The sequence below is a fragment of the Homo sapiens genome, chromosome 4, assembly GCF_000001405.40.
Source record: "Homo sapiens chromosome 4, GRCh38.p14 Primary Assembly".
Classification (NCBI taxonomy): domain Eukaryota; kingdom Metazoa; phylum Chordata; class Mammalia; order Primates; family Hominidae; genus Homo; species Homo sapiens.
Genome location: NC_000004.12, coordinates 91284438 through 91301552, shown reverse-complemented (window position 1 = coordinate 91301552; position 17115 = coordinate 91284438). Strand labels below are relative to the sequence as shown.

Sequence of the window (17115 nt, the reverse complement as noted above, 5' to 3'; positions counted from 1 at the left end):
TATATATATATACTATATTTTATATATACATAGACAGAGAGGCAAATAATGACTCCACCTAAACACACCTATAATGAGAAACAATTTACTTTGTATAAACTCAGCATCAAAATGCTTATTAGGTGAACACATTTTTTTCCACTTGGAATATATGACAGTCATGTTATAGTAGATAATCCATGTATTAATTCTCCTTTTTAATATTGCAATTGTTTTAAAGCTGAGTTATGATTATAAATTCAGAAGTAAAGGTAGATTTTCTATTATTTCAGTAGACAATGTATTAATTAAAATACACATACTGTTTATATAAAAGGAGAATATCTATAAAGAACCCATGCAACTGTGTGGTAATCAGACAATTATGACCTTCTCCCATACTCTGCATAACTTTTACTTTTCATTTCATTATCCAGTAATAGTATATTTATCAATACCCATCTGTAAATTGTGCATATTATGTATGCATAATGTACAAATGCCACGCAAAGCCATCTTGCCCTAGTATTACTGAGAATATAATGTAAAAGTATTTCCTCTCAGCTAAATTTAATCTTCCTTTCCTTTTAGGATAAAGTGAGTAGCAACTGTATATTTTTAAAAACCTCCCTAATGACTCACCCTTTAAAAACTACCTTTACAATCAAAGGTAAAAGTAAACTTCTGGAATGTATCTGAAACACTGGTTGGAACACAGTTTGAATCAAAGAGGCTTAATGCTAACCTAGTTATCAAATATATCATATATCATTCATGTTATATAATTTTGAAAATTCTCTTTGGCGATAAACATTTCTCATAATAATCAACTTTACTTCTTAACACCAATTATAACTTCTCCCATTTTTTTTCAGTTGCCAGCAGTACTTAGTTAAAATCTTTCAGAAGTATCCTAAAAATATCACCTTTCTTGGTGATATATGAAATAAAATGTATTTTTAAATAGTATCCCTCCAAATATGGACTGGTGGAAATCATTTTTAAAATATTGGAGTAATTTAGTTGTTGTGTTTGAATAATTGACTATATTTTAAGGAAGAACATTAAATTAGTATCTACCTGAGGCATATGTCTCAGCCTCTGAAAGCAATTAACTCTTTTATATATTTCCCTAACAGTACTGATAGTGGCTTCATTTTCACTGCCATGAACACACATTACTTTTATTTCCTTGGCACTAAGAAATGGTGCCTTCGAGTCTTATTCAGAGTTGTAATTCATCTAAAATAATGAGTAGATACCAAAACTAGACATTTTAATAAACCATTTTTATAAAATTCCCATTATCAAAAAGCTGTTCCCACAGCAGATAACAGAAACATAAAATTGCAAATAATTATAGTTCATATATGTGATCATATAAATATTGCTTGTAATAATTTTATAACAGGCCTCCCTGATATCCCTGAAATTGGTTACACTGAAAGACTCATTAATTCTCTCTTCCAAAAGGATTATTGACTTCCTGAGTCTGAAAAGTACTCCAAAGTCAAGGCAACAAAATGGCCCATTACTTCAAAAGAGGTGGAAGCCACACTAAGGTAAAACATAATTCCGAGCTGCTAACTTGGCAATGTTTTGTTTTTTTGTGTGTGTTTCTCTTTTACTTCTCGCACGGTGTCTTCCACTAGAAATTAGATATCAGAGTAGCAAGTCGTTCATTTAAAGCAAAAATTATTTATGGCAGTATGATTTTAAAGCCAATTTTAACTTAGTAACAGCATTTAACAACATTATGAGGACTAATATATGTATTTAAAAAAAAAAAAAACTTTCAGGTAGAAAAAGTCCCTGCTAAAATTTTTTATTGTGACTTTTACAGAAAGGTACCATTTGTCAATTTTGCACATGCATATAAAAAATCAGTTTTTATTTGTTAGAAAGATGCATAGAGTATGGAAATATCCTTGTAGTACTATTTTCTTATTTACGCTGTATGGCTGGTACCAAATAAAAGACTGGAATCAAACTAGTTAGCTTTGAAATCTCAGTTGTCACTACCTCTACTTTTTCATCTGCAAAAAAAGGGGATGATAATAATACTGACAACTATCCCATAGGTAAGTACTAAATAAATTAGTGTAAGTATGATGCACAGATAAGTCCTTGACATATTGCAAGTACTAGATGAATGTCGGCTATTATTATTTTGACTACCAAAAAGGTATAGTTGGGCCTTTAGTAAATGAAGTCAAACAATAATTTCTCAAGTGAGATAATGTTTGCATTTTTTTAAAAGACAGTTTAACTTAAAAATCCACAGATATACCATTTGTACCTCACAAATGTAGCATATTAAGAAAAACAAGTATGCTTTAATTCAGTGTAATCTCATCAAATTTGTGTCTGCCTCACTCTTAAAAGGGCATTATGGAGCTTAAATTTTACCATAATATTTAATATTTTAATATATGCCTATAACCACTGTTCTTTTATTTAAAGCAGTGGTTCACAAACTCTAGCATGTATAAACATAGAATGTTTAACATAGCCTGTTAAACATAGAATGCAGAACCCCACCCACAACATTTTTTATTTAGTAGGTCTGGGTAGAGGTCCAAAGTATTTGCCTTTCTCACCAGTTCACAGATGCTGCTGCTGCTGGTGCTGCTGCTCGTCTAGACACCACACTTAGAGAACCACTGTGCTAAAACATATGGTTGATTTTCCCCCTTTTGGGTTTTGGGAACTATGTAGTCAGCTATTACCCAGCACTTGTGGAGGATTTTGTAAAAGCTGGTAATATGTGAGAGCATTAAGTTTGTCTGTGATCTCTCTGTTTATTTGGTTCTGTATATTAGGACTACATATTGTAGTCTTACAGGCCAGGATGCCTCCATGCTCAACAAAAGAACTTGCCAAAGTTTAACTTAAAACTGTAAAGAAGGTTTTTTTCCTATGATATTTTTACTCTTACTTTCATAAATATTTTGCCCTTCTTAGTTAGTCTCCATTCCCACGCTCTTGTATGTTCTAAGTGCTTTTTTGAATTGGCCTGAATCCTGGAAACCACATTCACCATTTTCCCTTGCCATCAGAGTACAGCATGTGTTTTAGACTCTGCCAAGGATGAAATAAAATTTTGAAGGTAAAAGGAAGGCAAAAGGCCAAGGGCAGGCCTCCTTTAGCAGGAATGGTGGCTGACACATAGGCTCCCACATACGGCATCATATTCTGCTATGTGGTCATTTGAGCTCTGGGCAGCTGTGATGTTCACAGTGGTTTTCTGCAGCTTCCAGCAACTGCATCTTGCCTGTGGTGGCAAGAATGAACAATGACAGGTGTCCTGATTTCCAATTCAGCAGCACTTCCAACAATTTTGTAATTTCCAATTTAAGTAGTATCTAATACTTGCACGGAAATCTGACTGATCCACTTTTCTAATACTTATTTCTACTTGATAGCCCCTTTACTGTATCTCATAATCACAGTTAATAGTAAAACTCTTTATTATTTGTCATCCCAGCCATTTTCATTCAACATCAAATTCATCAGTTCCCTACTTATGCTTCTCCATGTAGGATTTTTTCCTTCTTAACACTACCTATTATTATGCTTTGTGAATTCCTTGAGTTTCCTAATTAAGTGAACAAATTTTTATCTATTTTATCCACATCCATGCAATTCTCATGCACGTCTTTCAAGGTCAGGCTCTAGATTTAACATCATTGTGGCTACAAACTGCTTATTCAAAAAATACTGTTTTTACCACTTTTCCTCAAGTACCCCAATTCTCCTTTAAAATGGTTTTTCCTTTATACATGGTATTTTCCTTTTTTCATTTGTTGGTTGGCTGTCTGCTTACATACTGTCCTTATTTCTATTGAGAATTTCACCACATGATCAAAAGTTTTCTATCCTTTGGCAATTCCTGCTGTCATCTAGGTGATTTTACCTCCTATTTTCCAGTCTAACCTTGAACTTTTCCCTTGTGTGACTTTTGGCCCTACTTCATTCAGTCTTCCATGCCCATGGGTGCAACCTGGATCCTGTCATTGTCTGAAATTGCTTATTCTACAAAATATTAAACTCAGAAATCTAAATCTTTTACTTCATATACAATTATCTCACCTACTCTCATCATACTAGAAGATTTTTTCTCCCTCCTTATCCACATCTGTCTCCCTAACACACACACACACACACACACACACACACACACACACATACACACACACACACACACAAGCATCCATTCTCCTCAGGTGAGCAGAACATTCTTGGCTTTTTACTTTTTTCTTTGGGGAAACTGTTTACTGCTATCCTGCTCTTGCTGTTTCTGCAGCCTGTTTTTAAAATGTATCTGTCTTTTTTACAAACATAACATAAGTTTATTAAAAGAGAGGAGAAGAAAAAGGTAAAATGAAATGCTAAGAAATTTCTCAGAGGATATACACTCTTTAGCCAAGACTCTTCACTGCCTAACCAAAACTTACTTTCCAAGCCTCATTTAACCCTGAACATTCCTTTACATTCTTTGCTTAATTTTGTCTTCTGCCTGGGATACACTCATCTCTATAGCAACCACTAGTCCTCTTTAAGGATTGCTGGCAATATCTTGTCCTGTTTTTTTTTAACCCAAAATCTTCACAACATTTTGATGTATTTTTTAAAAAATATAATATTCATTATAATTTGAAAAAGAAACCAGATAAAAATTCCTTTTTAAAAACTGTGCTAAGTAAAAAAGATGGGTGCAGTAAATAAACTTGCATACTGTGTCATTATTTGTGGTTTTTGGTAGATTTTAAAAAATCCCAGTCTGGTAATAAATTCCCTCTAACCTTGTCAGTGATTTACAATGTATAGAATACATTGAATTGAAATTGTCTGGGATAGTATTTAAAGTTCTTAAAATAAAAGAGATGATACTATTTGGGAAGAAGTACATATATATTTATCTTACATACTTATATATATACACACAACTATATATACCTATATATTCAACTATTATACACATAACTATATGTTAACTATATATTAACATATAAAGCATCTATAGTTATATTGTTATTTTTATATCTATATCTATAATTATACAGATAACTGTATATTTAATTAAAATATATATATATATATATACATATATATATATATATAATGTTAGACACTTCTGTTTACACCAGAAAAATATGAAGACTTTACTATGCTTTTATACACTGTAAGTCTCTAGGAGGGAAAAATTATAGTATATGGGATTCCCCAAAGTGATTTGATTCTAACTTCTTCTCCCTCCCTTTAAGGTTATGTTTCTAAGGGAGTGGTGTTCTATGGAAAAACTTAGAAAGCTTTTTCTAATAAAATGAGCTTTCTCTTTTTTTGGCTGCCAGAAACTTAAGCCACATTCTTTGTTAATCTTAGTTACCCAAAACCATTTGTACTTTGTATACACTTCACTTATGATTACTTTGTTTTAGAAAGGCATTATACACTCAGACTTGAGACAAACTACCTGAAAATTTGTGTGACTTCAAATCTGATTTCAAATTAAGATTTTGAGGAATGACTTCAATATTTCATTTCAAAAAGCCACATTATCATGGAAATACTTTGATAGACCGCTATACTTATAGAAGGCATACATCTTTATTTAGTTACTATAAAGTCCCTAGGTTAAAGATTTTTTGTTTTAATTTGTATTTTTTTCTGCATAAAATATCCTAATACAAAATATACTCAAATGGCTTTTAAAACAGCTATTTATATCAAATTACTGAGACATACATAAAAACACAGGAGGCTGATTCATGGTATGATGCGTAACACCAAAGAGCAAATAGGAAAACTGTGATGTGCTATCATCATGAGCCACTCTTCTCTAGAATAATGACAAAAAGAGCAACAACCAGAACAAACAAACCTAGAGGTTTCTCTTTGTATGCATTATGCAATATCACATATGCATGAATATAAATACATCTTTATAACTCTCAGATTTCTATGTTTTCTAAAATAATTGTTCATGATCTTTGTAAAATAATAAAATTGATATTTTAATTTTTCAAAATATTTACTTTCCCATATTTCAGTAATTAAATATTAACGTTTCTTCAGAAAAAAATATATAACCATTTAGATAACAGACTTACTTTCTAATAAATTTTGTACTCAAAATCTTTATGGTATTTTTGGAGACTAACTGTAGTAAAAATTTTGCCTCTTTACAAACAATACTGTATTTCTTTAAAAATTAATTTCTTGTATATTTTGTCTATCTCACTTTCTGATACAAGAAGAAATTTGTAATTCTATTTATATCCTATAAAAACTAAGATCCACTGCATTTACTTGAATTATTTCATTTTGCCATTTTCAAAATTATAAACAATACAGAAAAATCTCTAACCAAAAAGGTAGTATTGGTCATATATTTCATTAGATAGCTTAAATCATATTTTCTCACTGTCATTATATTGAGATAACATTGCTAGCTTTTTGGAAATTAAAGGGTTTGCCATATTCCACTACTGTGTAAGCAAGCACCTAAGGCAAGAACTGTGTTTTAGTCATCTTGTTAAGAGTATCGTCTTCTACCTAATATGATACCTGAACCATATTTGTTGTTATTGAGTTGGAGTAGAACAATGAAAATAATTTGTGCAATAAAGTCAGGAAAAGAAATTTGAATTCTGACTCTGGCATTGTACTCTGTCTGTAGCATGCTGAATACACACTCCCAAAATATATGTACAACTTGGAGCCCTTGATACCTTAGTTGGACTCATTTGAAAATAGGATCTGTACAATGTAATTAGGCTAAGGATGTTTAGATAAGATGAGATTATCTTGGATGAATCCTAAATCCAATGAGTTTATGAAATTAAAAACAAGGGAAGTTGGAGGTATACACAGGAAGAGCCATGCGGAAACAGGGGGAGAGACTAGAGTAGTGTTCACAAGCCAAGAAACATCAGGAACCCCTGACAGCCTCTAGAGCTAACAGATGGGCTCAAAACAGACTCTCCTTCAAACCTCCAGAAGGAACAAACCCTGTTGCCATCCTGATTTTGCATTTCAGGCCTCCAGAAGAGAATGTATTTGTGTTGTTTTAAGCCACTGAGTTTGTGGTAACTTGTTAGGCAGGCCTAGGAAACTAAGACAAGCAGATAGTCAATAAGAGAGTTCGACATATTATTTTAAAATGGGACAAGGTTTCACTTTTCGGATCTATCAGGAAGATTAAATAACGTATTAAGTCTCCACTAGAATTTCCCAAATGATCTTGTCCAAAACATGCTTCTGTTAGTAAGGTGTACACATATAATTTGTACAAGTTTGCACAAACTATAACCCATTAAAAGGAAATTTTCACATATATTTCTATATTGCTGATGATTTAGAAATGAGTATCATAAAAATTCAACTAAATGCAGCAAATATTATTAAGGAACTATAGTTTCTTTAAGAAATTTAAATTACTTGTAATATCAAGAAGTCAGACACACAATTTTCATTTTCTTCCCTGAATGCTTGACTTCTTGACCATTCCATTACAGCTACCCACAATAAATGAGCGACCTCAACATGAAATGTAGAATGAAGGAATAAAAAAAAAGAGGGCTGGGGAGGATGAAAAGGAAGACTCTAAGCTCTTAACTCCTGAAAGGCCAGAGGAAAGCTTTCAGAGTACATAACTTGAAAAGCAATTATAGCCTTAAATTTTTGCAGATCAAACAAATATAATGTAATTTTTAAAGGCTTTTAAACTTGACAGCCTGACCACATAATATCTTTTGCTATTCTTTTTAATGTTTTGCCTCTTTTGGCTATTCCTTGACATGAGAACAAAGAAACTCATTCTCTGGTTTATAATAAATAAAAGTTAAAAAAAAATCACCATAGATCCCACTTTCTAACTTAAACAACATCTTGCAGAAAACAAAATTTTAAAAAGACATACAGAATAAAATGTAGAACTACTTCAAAACGTGCATTGAATGCATTCTCACCAACAAGTTTTTATAGAATAACCTCAATGTTCAATGCATATTTACTTATAAGGGATGATTTATTTTCCTTTCCCATGTCAATTGAAACAAAAGCAGTGGTAAACAAATAACATGTTATTCATTTGGTGTACTAATTTACATTTTATGCATAAAAATAATACATTAGAAAAAGACTCTTAATAGAAGGACTTACCTTAATCTGTTCAAGTTAAATTTTACAACATTGATAATAACAAAAGACCCTCAATTAAGTGGTTGCTGTACATCTATGTGTACCGAGTTTCCAAATGCTATAAATACCCAAACGACAGACATTAAGAAAATAAAAGATCTATTTATATATGTACACGTGATTCTAAATGACAGTTGGCCGGTACAACAAGGGTTGTAGTGGATGGTGCTGAGTGGGAAAGGAACTCTAAGGAATGTTCCTGTGAGGGTCTCCCATGAAATCTGATCTCAGTGCATTTTTTTTGTCTCCAGATTTTACATTTATTCTTTTCAAATTTAAAAACAGGCAAATTATTTTTTATAGACAGGCTTATCTAAACAAGTTCATGTGAAAGATGTCTAAAATTCAATGTTAATTTATCAGTTTCTAATCTGAATTGTCACTGCTGAAGGAACCGTATACTTAAGGGTCCCAGGTCCCAGCCTTATATTCTCTCTGTAGATGTCATATGGGAGAGGAGATAACAGATCATAATGAGAGGGGTACATATGGAGCATGGAATAGTATAGACAAGTGGATACTCAAGCATTGAGCTCAGTTAACCAATACCTTCATTTCCACAATAAATAAAAATGATTCACCTCCTGACTTTTTTAAAATTTATTTTTGCTCTGTTTTAATGATTCTTAAATGCTCCACTTCTGATGGATGCCTTCTTTCTTTACATATTGTAATACATTGAGGCCTAATACAGCTACAATTTAAGGGCTTGCCATTCATATCAGACTTCTGCAATGAGTTGAAGTCCCTGATCTGCTTGTTCTTTAAGAAGCAAAGCAAAACAAAACAAAAATTATCTATATTTATTTCCAATTATATCTAATTATTTGATATAAAGATTAGATCATAAGTAATATTTACCTCATTTCACAAACAAATTGAAGAATGGACTTAAAATAGCTTATTTTGGGTTGTCTGAGTAATCTAGCGTAAGCATAATTAAGTTCAAATTATTTGAACATAATTTTGGACAACTTAAAAAAAACAGAACCCTGAATTTTAATAAAAATTCAGTGTCTTTTGCCTTAAAATGATACAAAGCTTATTCAAACAAGAGAAATAACAGCAATATTCATGAATTTTGTTTGATTTATAACAGACACTGTCTTTTTCACACACTGCAAGGGAATCTTTCAGTTGTACAAATACCCAGTTCTCTAGCTCTGTGGACCATGTACATACAGCTCCTCAAACAAGCTGTGTTCTGGGTTCTGCCAGGCCTTCCACATGCTCCTGGACTTGCTCTTGTTCACATTCAACAACTAACTTCTATTCGCCTTTCAAGAGTTACTCAGGCATCGCTTGCTAGTTTGATAGAGGAAAACTTTCCAAATTTAGGGGGAAGAGGACATGATGCTTTAACAGAAATATTAAAGAAAACAACCTTGGAAGAAAAAAATGGGACAAATGAGTTAGAAGTCTGCGTTTATCACAAAGTCTTGGATGTTGGGTAAACCAATTAATCTTTCAATAATTTATCTGTGATGTGGATGGACTGGAATCAAGAATCTCTAGGAACATTTACAATTATGTATTGTCAGCTCATGGCAATTTCTCATGCTTTTCTTTACTCAGAGCCTCACATGCTTTGAATCTGTGTCCCCGCCAAATCCCATGGCAAATTGTAATCCCCACTGTTGGAGGTGGGGCCTGGTGGGAGGGGACTGAATCATAGGGGCACTTTCTAGTGAATGGTTTAGCACCGTCCCCTTGGTGCTGTTCTCGTGATAGCAAGCGAGTTCTTCATGAGATCTGGCTGTTTAAAACTCTTTGGCACCTCCCTTCTCTCTCTTGCTCCTGCTCCAGCCATGTGATATGTGTGCGCCCCCTTTGCTTCTGTCGTGACTGTAAGTTTCCTGAGGAATCCCCAGAAGCCCAGCAGATGCTAGCATCATGCTTCCTGTACGGTTTGTACAACCATGAGCCAATTAAACCTCTTTTCTTTATAAATTCCCCAGTCTCGGGTGTTTCTTCGTAGCAGTGCGAGAACTAACAAATACAGAGCCTTTGAAACATTTTACACATTCTAGAAAAGTAATAACAGATCAAATTAAATTTACCCTCAAAATCCATGATATCAATGGGCCCTAACTGCTAAATCTAAATTATATTTACTAATACATTTCTTCAATATGTTGCCTTAATCTTGACTTTAATTTATGTTATCAGTGATCTTATTACCTATCTGCAAGCTTTAATAAGGAAGGATCCAACACTTTAATAACGCCAGCACCGTCTTGGGTGCTTACAGATATTTATTAATACTGTGAAAGGTAAAATATTTATAAAATAATATATATAAAAGAAAAAATTGATTTTAATAAGAGGTGCTAATTTAATAATCAAAAAGTCAAAGTTCTAAGAGAGTATTCTGATTATTCCTAATTATTAAAAATGGTAACTTAATTTACTAGTTAGCTCATTAATTATTTAAAAGGAAAATATAAAATCAAGACATTCTTTTATTTTGTTTTAGGATTAGCCCACAACATGTCTTATCTATTAAATTTATTTATTCAATTTTCAATCTTTAAATGTTATTCTGTTTTAGAATAATTTCATAATAGGCAAATGTTCTTTGAGTAATGAAAAGTTTAGTTAGCACATATGACAATGTAAAATTAATGTTGAGTTTCAAACAGTTCAAACATTTGAATATGTTTTCTATAGAAAAAGAATATGTTAATTTTGGTAAGACAAAACTGTAACAACATGAAATACATACTATAATCATTGAGGTATAGAGGTATGGGATAGTAAAAGAAGTACTAGATCATTCATATTTTAATAGTTCAGTATTGGTTCCTGCCTCTCCTCTGTACCATACTGGGTGCATATTTTCTGTTTCATCATTAACTTTTAATATATTATAAAACTGTATTGACAGATAAATGTACACATATACACAAATAAAAAGAAATGTCTGCAAGACAGCTACTGTAGAGGTTAGAGGCATAAACTACAAAAACACTGGGAATATGGTCATTTTGGTAATATCTTAGCAGCAAATATAATTTAAATAAGGCCACACATTAAATCACAACATGTCATAAATTATATATAAATATAGCACAGATATTTATGTAAATATTTTTAAAGCAAAGTTTTCATTTCATTCATTCCACTCCCAGTGTTAATTTCTTCCCTTAACATTTCTCATAGTGCAGGTTTGCTGGCAATACGTTTCTCAGTATTTATTTGTCTGAGAAAAACTTCAATTTCCCTTCCATTTTTGGATGATATAGTTACTGACTATAGAATGTTTTGTAGCTAGCTTGTTAGTTTATCCCTCTCAAAACTTTAAAGATGCCACTTCATAGCTTACAGAGTACCTGATGAGAAGTCTACTATAATCCTGTCTTTGTTTCTTTGTAGATAGCATGTATTTCTCCCTCTTCAGATTACCTTCAGACTTTTTCTTGTCTGATTTTCTACATTTTGAATATAATATGCCTGATTGTGTTTTGTTGTTGTTATTGTTTTTTATCTGTTTGTTCTTTAAGCTTCTTGGATCTATAATTTGGTATGTGCCATTATTTTAGAAAATTTGTGGCCATTTTTCTCAAACATTTCTTCTTTATTGTTTTCTCTCTTCTTCCATTGGGATTTCAATTACAAATAAATTAGATGACTTGATATTTTTCCACAGCTCCTTAATGTTCTTCCCCCATCCCATAATCCCACCACATATTTTTTTCCTTTTGTGTTTCAGTTGGGCAATTTCTATTGACCTCTCTCTTCAAGTTCATAATTCTCTCCTTGGCTGTGTTGAGTTTACAGATGAGACCATCACAGGCATTCCTCATCTCTGTTACTGAGCTTTTAATGAATTGAATTTCCACTCAATTCATTCTTACAGCTCTAACTCAGTAATTAGACATCTGTTCTTTCATGCTGTCAAACTCTTCCATTAAAATATTTAACACAATAATTGTAATTATTTTAATTCCCCTTGTTAATAGTTCCAATATCTTCATAATATCTGAATCTGATTCTGTTGATTCTTTTATCACTAGGCAGTGCTTTGCTTTCTCTTGCTTCTCTGAATGCCCCAGAAATTCTGTGGAAAGCAGACATTTTATGTAGGACATTATAGACTTTAATAAATCAGCTGTATGCCCAGAAATGAGCATGCTTTTCCTTCTATGAAGCCTTTAGTGTGGGAGTCTAGGTCAATAAAGGCAGGTGTTGAGCTGGGTTTGTTATTGTTGCTATGGTTACCCCCAAGCTTAAATTTTCTCTAACAGTACCTTGCATTTAGAATAGTGACTGGTTTGTCATAGGGTTTTTCCTGATGTAAGTCCCTCCTTTGGCTTTAGGTCTCTCCTTTGCACTGTGTTTCAGAGAAAATCTCTTTCCACACTCTTGTGACTTTCCTAGTCATATCCCATTGTTATTTATGACTCAATCGTTATTAGTCTATAAAACAAGAAGGGAGGCATTCTCTCTTTCTCTGATCAACTCTAAGTCTTAAAGCAGGCACTACGTTCCTGGCTGTCACTGATGTGGCCTTCTCAGTACTACAGCCTCTCCTCCACCTGTGGTTCTAGGCCCATCATGTATTTTTGTATCTGTCCCAAGAATAAATGATCTTTTTCTGCTCCCTTCCCCTAGCTGCAATGGATTTTCACCAGGGTCCTAAGAGTGACTGTGTTGTTGCTCTTTCCCCTGCATTTTAGGCTTTTGTTTTGAATGGATAAAGGAAGGAAGCAACAGAATAGAGTTTTGTGCCTTTCTTGCAGTAGCTGTTGTTCCCTTCTTCAAGCCTTTAGCACAAGGGACAGCTTCTCAGGAATCTTGCTATTATTTTTATGTGAGCATTCAGTGAGGTCTATAAAGAGCCTGTAAGCAGGTGCAAATTCTCACCATATTTATATTTCCTTCCTATCTCACACTTGACTCATTGATTCATTAACCTTTTTGTTGTTGTTGTTGTTTTTGCAAAATTCTATGTTCTGGCTGTGTCTGCTACAACTGGTCTCACCTTGTCAGTATCTATCTTTACTTATGTACAGGTTAGTTGGTTGCCGTGTGACTTTAACTCTCTGATGGTTAAAGAAAAATTGTGAATTTGAATTTTCTCCAGATTTTGTGTTGTTATTATAAGGGTATGAACAATGTTCTTTACAGCTTTCTACATCCTACGCTAAAACCAGAAGGTGTGTGTGTACATATGTGTATGTATGTGTATATGTGTGTGTGTATGTATATATATATATACGAGTGTATATATATATACATGAGTGTGTATATATATATATCCTATATATATATCCTATATATATATGAGTGTATATATATATATATCCTAAATAAACTCAATAGCCTAGAATAGTAATTACTGTTGTTTATATATCAAAGAAAATGTCATTTATTTTTTTTCTTTTACCAGAACAGAGCATAACTTTTACTCTTTAGTAGCTCAAAAATGGTCAGCTCAATTACATGTAAAATCATTACTGTGGTCTCAAAAGAAAGGCAATATTCAGAATTTGCCTTCCACAGGATTATAACACATATTGCATTTTTCCTTTGTGCCTTTCCCTCTTTCTAGCTATCTATTGTATTAGCTTAGCCTCTTCCTGTGGTATGTGGATGATTTTATCATGCCACTTAAAACTTTTCCCTGCTCTTCACTCTCTGACTGAAGCCTACCTTCTGAAGATTAGAGCTTCTTTAATCCTAAATACATATGTGCACTTACATGTGAAGTTATAGACACAATGCACTTTCTTTTGTTCCCTAAGAATGCACAGTCAAGTAGGCATTGGTTTACTCAGGTTTGAAGCAACCTTACCAGACAGATTATCTGAAGATATATTTCAAACACAGTTACAGGAAAAGTTATGTTAGTCCTCACTACTGTGGAAGCTTGGTCCTATCCTGTTTATAAGCCTGGCAAAGAATGAAGAAAACAAATAAAATCAAAGCTATATCTAAAATAGAATGATAAATAATGCAAATACATTGTGTGGAACAGTAGATACAGAAAAAAGGGAAATGACAGGAAATAAACTGATTAATTGAAAAGAAAAGGGAATAAATCAGAAGGCACAGTACAAAAACTAGTCAGAAACATCTGTTCTTACAGACACTTATTAGAACTATTTTTTCTGACTTTGAGGTTAGTATTATTTTCAGTAAATACATTGTTTTCCTGACTTTTTTCTTGAATTTTTTGTGTTCATGAATTCTGAATTTAAAAATTGCTCTTTAGTAGGAAAAAAACTTGACTGGAAATTAGGGTAGGTATGTTTTTAAGGTACCCCACTTTAAATATATAATTTCAGTCCCATTTGTGCTATAAAATAACTGCTATCTGATTCTGAATAGCAAGGCAGTATTATTTTCATGTATATTCAGTTCAGTTGGGTTAACATTGAACTATCTGATGAATGATTCAGCTAAATTAGGTAACTACTCCTGAATAGACAACTTACAAACATTTGGTGCTCCTTTCATTCATATACTGAGAAATAAAGAAGCCATGTTATAAAATATGAAAGCATGTGACCTACATTTAATTTTTTTAACCAAATTGGTTTTGAATTGTTGAATACATTACGAAACTTGATGTTTACTATTTTTTTCTAGAGAACACATATTTATGGTTTATTAAATTTTAGAGTTACATGCTTCTGTAATTTGGAACTCTTAAAGTAGTAATTATGGTCACAAAATGGAAAACAATAACCAAATTGAAATCAGTTCTTGTATTTTGAATGTTGAGGCAATAATCTATGGGTCACATCTTTGCCAAATTTTATCCAAATGTTAAAGATCTCCATTCATATCACATGTAGATAAGGTTATACCAACACATGATAGAGTTTCATGTAACAATACTGATTACAATTTTAAAACATAAACCCATCGGAAATTGAGAAGAGAACTGTATCTGAATAAATGATGCATCATTTTGGTATTTAAATAAAAATGTACTAGTAGCATTCAAATAACTTTCCAAGACTCCACATTATCCAACTTAGTGAACCTTCATCAAGCGTTTTCTCTGAAAGTGGAAAATACTAACCAAACCTATACTATTTCCAATTTAACGTTGATAAATTATTAGCAACAAATAAATGCATATTTGTGTGGGCCTGTTAATTAAAAGCTATACAGTGCTTTCCAAGATAGAGAGTGAATCCTGTCATTGTAGATTCACAGCCTTTCTAATCATATCATCATCTAGGCAATCCCTCTCTGTTGCTAAATTCCATTTCAAATTATTGTTAAGGAAAATTTCTTGACTGATTATATTTTTGAAATAGTTAAAATGGCAACCATAAAACAAAGTCCTTAAAACTGAATTAAAAAAAAAACTAAACTTTAATTGTAACTTCAGGAAAGTATTCATCACACCTTGTGATGTAGGTAGAAATGGAAAAAAAAAACAAAACAAACACGCTAGAATCAAGAACCAACTATAAAATTTCTAGATAGGTATTCACAGGAAGTAGGGGAGAAACAAAAATGTTTACTATTAATATTCTAACATTTGTGTATAGAAAAAAAGCATTCATTCCTTCTACATAACAACTTTGATAAGCACCACAATTACAAATACTCAAGGAGATTCTTCTAATGTGTAATGCAGAGATCCTAAAATTTGCATTTGACTAAAAGAAAATGTGATAATAAGCATTCCAAATTCATGAATCTTACATGCTTATCTGTGCCAAGTCAGCATATTTAGGAAGGTAATATCCATTTTATCGTGGTACATATTGGTAAATATTGCAACTTAAGACCCTCAGACTTACAGAAATCATACATCTTTTTGTTTTTCTTTCTATTTTTAGTAGGATTAACTCACTTAACTGGAACCAGTGATCGAAAATCTCAAATATCCAGTATTTTTATTTACATATAAATACACTTTGATTTCGTGAAAGCAAAAGGTAAGTTTAATTCAAATTAAGGATAATAATTCCATACCCTTTATATTTCCGCTTATGGCTTCATAGCACATATAATAAATTCACAGTTCCCCAAATCTCTAGTAAAAATATCTTCTCTATCTCCATAACAGCATTTCCTATATTCAATGAAATATAACATATAGCACAAGGACTTTTTTCTTTAAAAAGAGACACATCTTAAAAAAAAAAAAAAAAACCCATTGAAGTTTTTGCTATGGTTTTCAATTTTCATTAATTAATACTGCCGTAATGCCTATATTTAAGAAGCCATATCTTTAGTGTACATTAGAAATGTAGACGATAGAGAGACCTATGAAAAGAAATAAGAGCAAAGGACAATTTGAGATGTTTGAGAGATTATTTAACTTTAGGTGGAGTTTTAATATATCTAAACCCCATCTTCTGTTCACATTAGCAGTTCTGTCTGCTGCAACTATATTCATAAGAACCCAAACTTTCAAAATTTTTTCATTAGAAAGGAGATAGTAAAGTACATATTTTTTTGTTCATTGTTGGGGCAGCTTTATCATGGTGGAAAGTCCTGCATTTTTTGTTGAAGTGATTCACGGATCCTTCTCAGTGAATGTCATCAACTCATATGTTTTTTTCTGCCAATAGTGAAGAAAAGCATTATGCAAACAGGACTGTACCTTTGAATCACCTTTAACATCATATTAAGATGGATTTACTTGGCATTTATTGCTAGGCATGACAATTAGAGTCACATGGGTGTCTTGCTGTAGCAGTCTATAATGGAGGTAAACAACCATGATTATCTGACGGATGCTGGTGTGGGAAAAGAGGAAAGACATGGATGGAATGGGCAATGAAAATAGCTCTTTCTCAAAGTCTGATGGCACTTTGGAGAGCCTACATATTCAATTTACATATACATTTCTCATTGACAAAAAGTACATGTTAAAGCAGACAAGCTGTCACAGAAATCTCCCGAACTGAAATGCAGGTATCTGACTCTGCCGAGGTGCATATATTTATAACACAGCTG

General features: G+C 32.5%; 1 protein-coding gene and 1 long non-coding RNA gene across 11 annotated transcripts in view; one reads left to right on the top strand and one right to left on the bottom strand.

The window, feature by feature from the left end:
• CCSER1 (coiled-coil serine rich protein 1) overlaps positions 1–17115 on the bottom strand; it is a 1477902-nt gene that overhangs the window by 303743 nt on the left and 1157044 nt on the right. The window lies entirely within an intron of this gene.
• The window catches only part of LOC124900733 (uncharacterized), a 56617-nt gene that overhangs the window by 23649 nt on the left and 15853 nt on the right, over positions 1–17115 (top strand). The window contains exon 3 of one of the 2 annotated variants that reach the window (XR_007058191.1): positions 1453–1541. This is a non-coding gene — a long non-coding RNA (uncharacterized LOC124900733). Of the gene's footprint in view, positions 1–1452; positions 1645–17115 lie in introns of those variants that run through there. The other variant, XR_007058190.1, reaches the window with a different exon arrangement.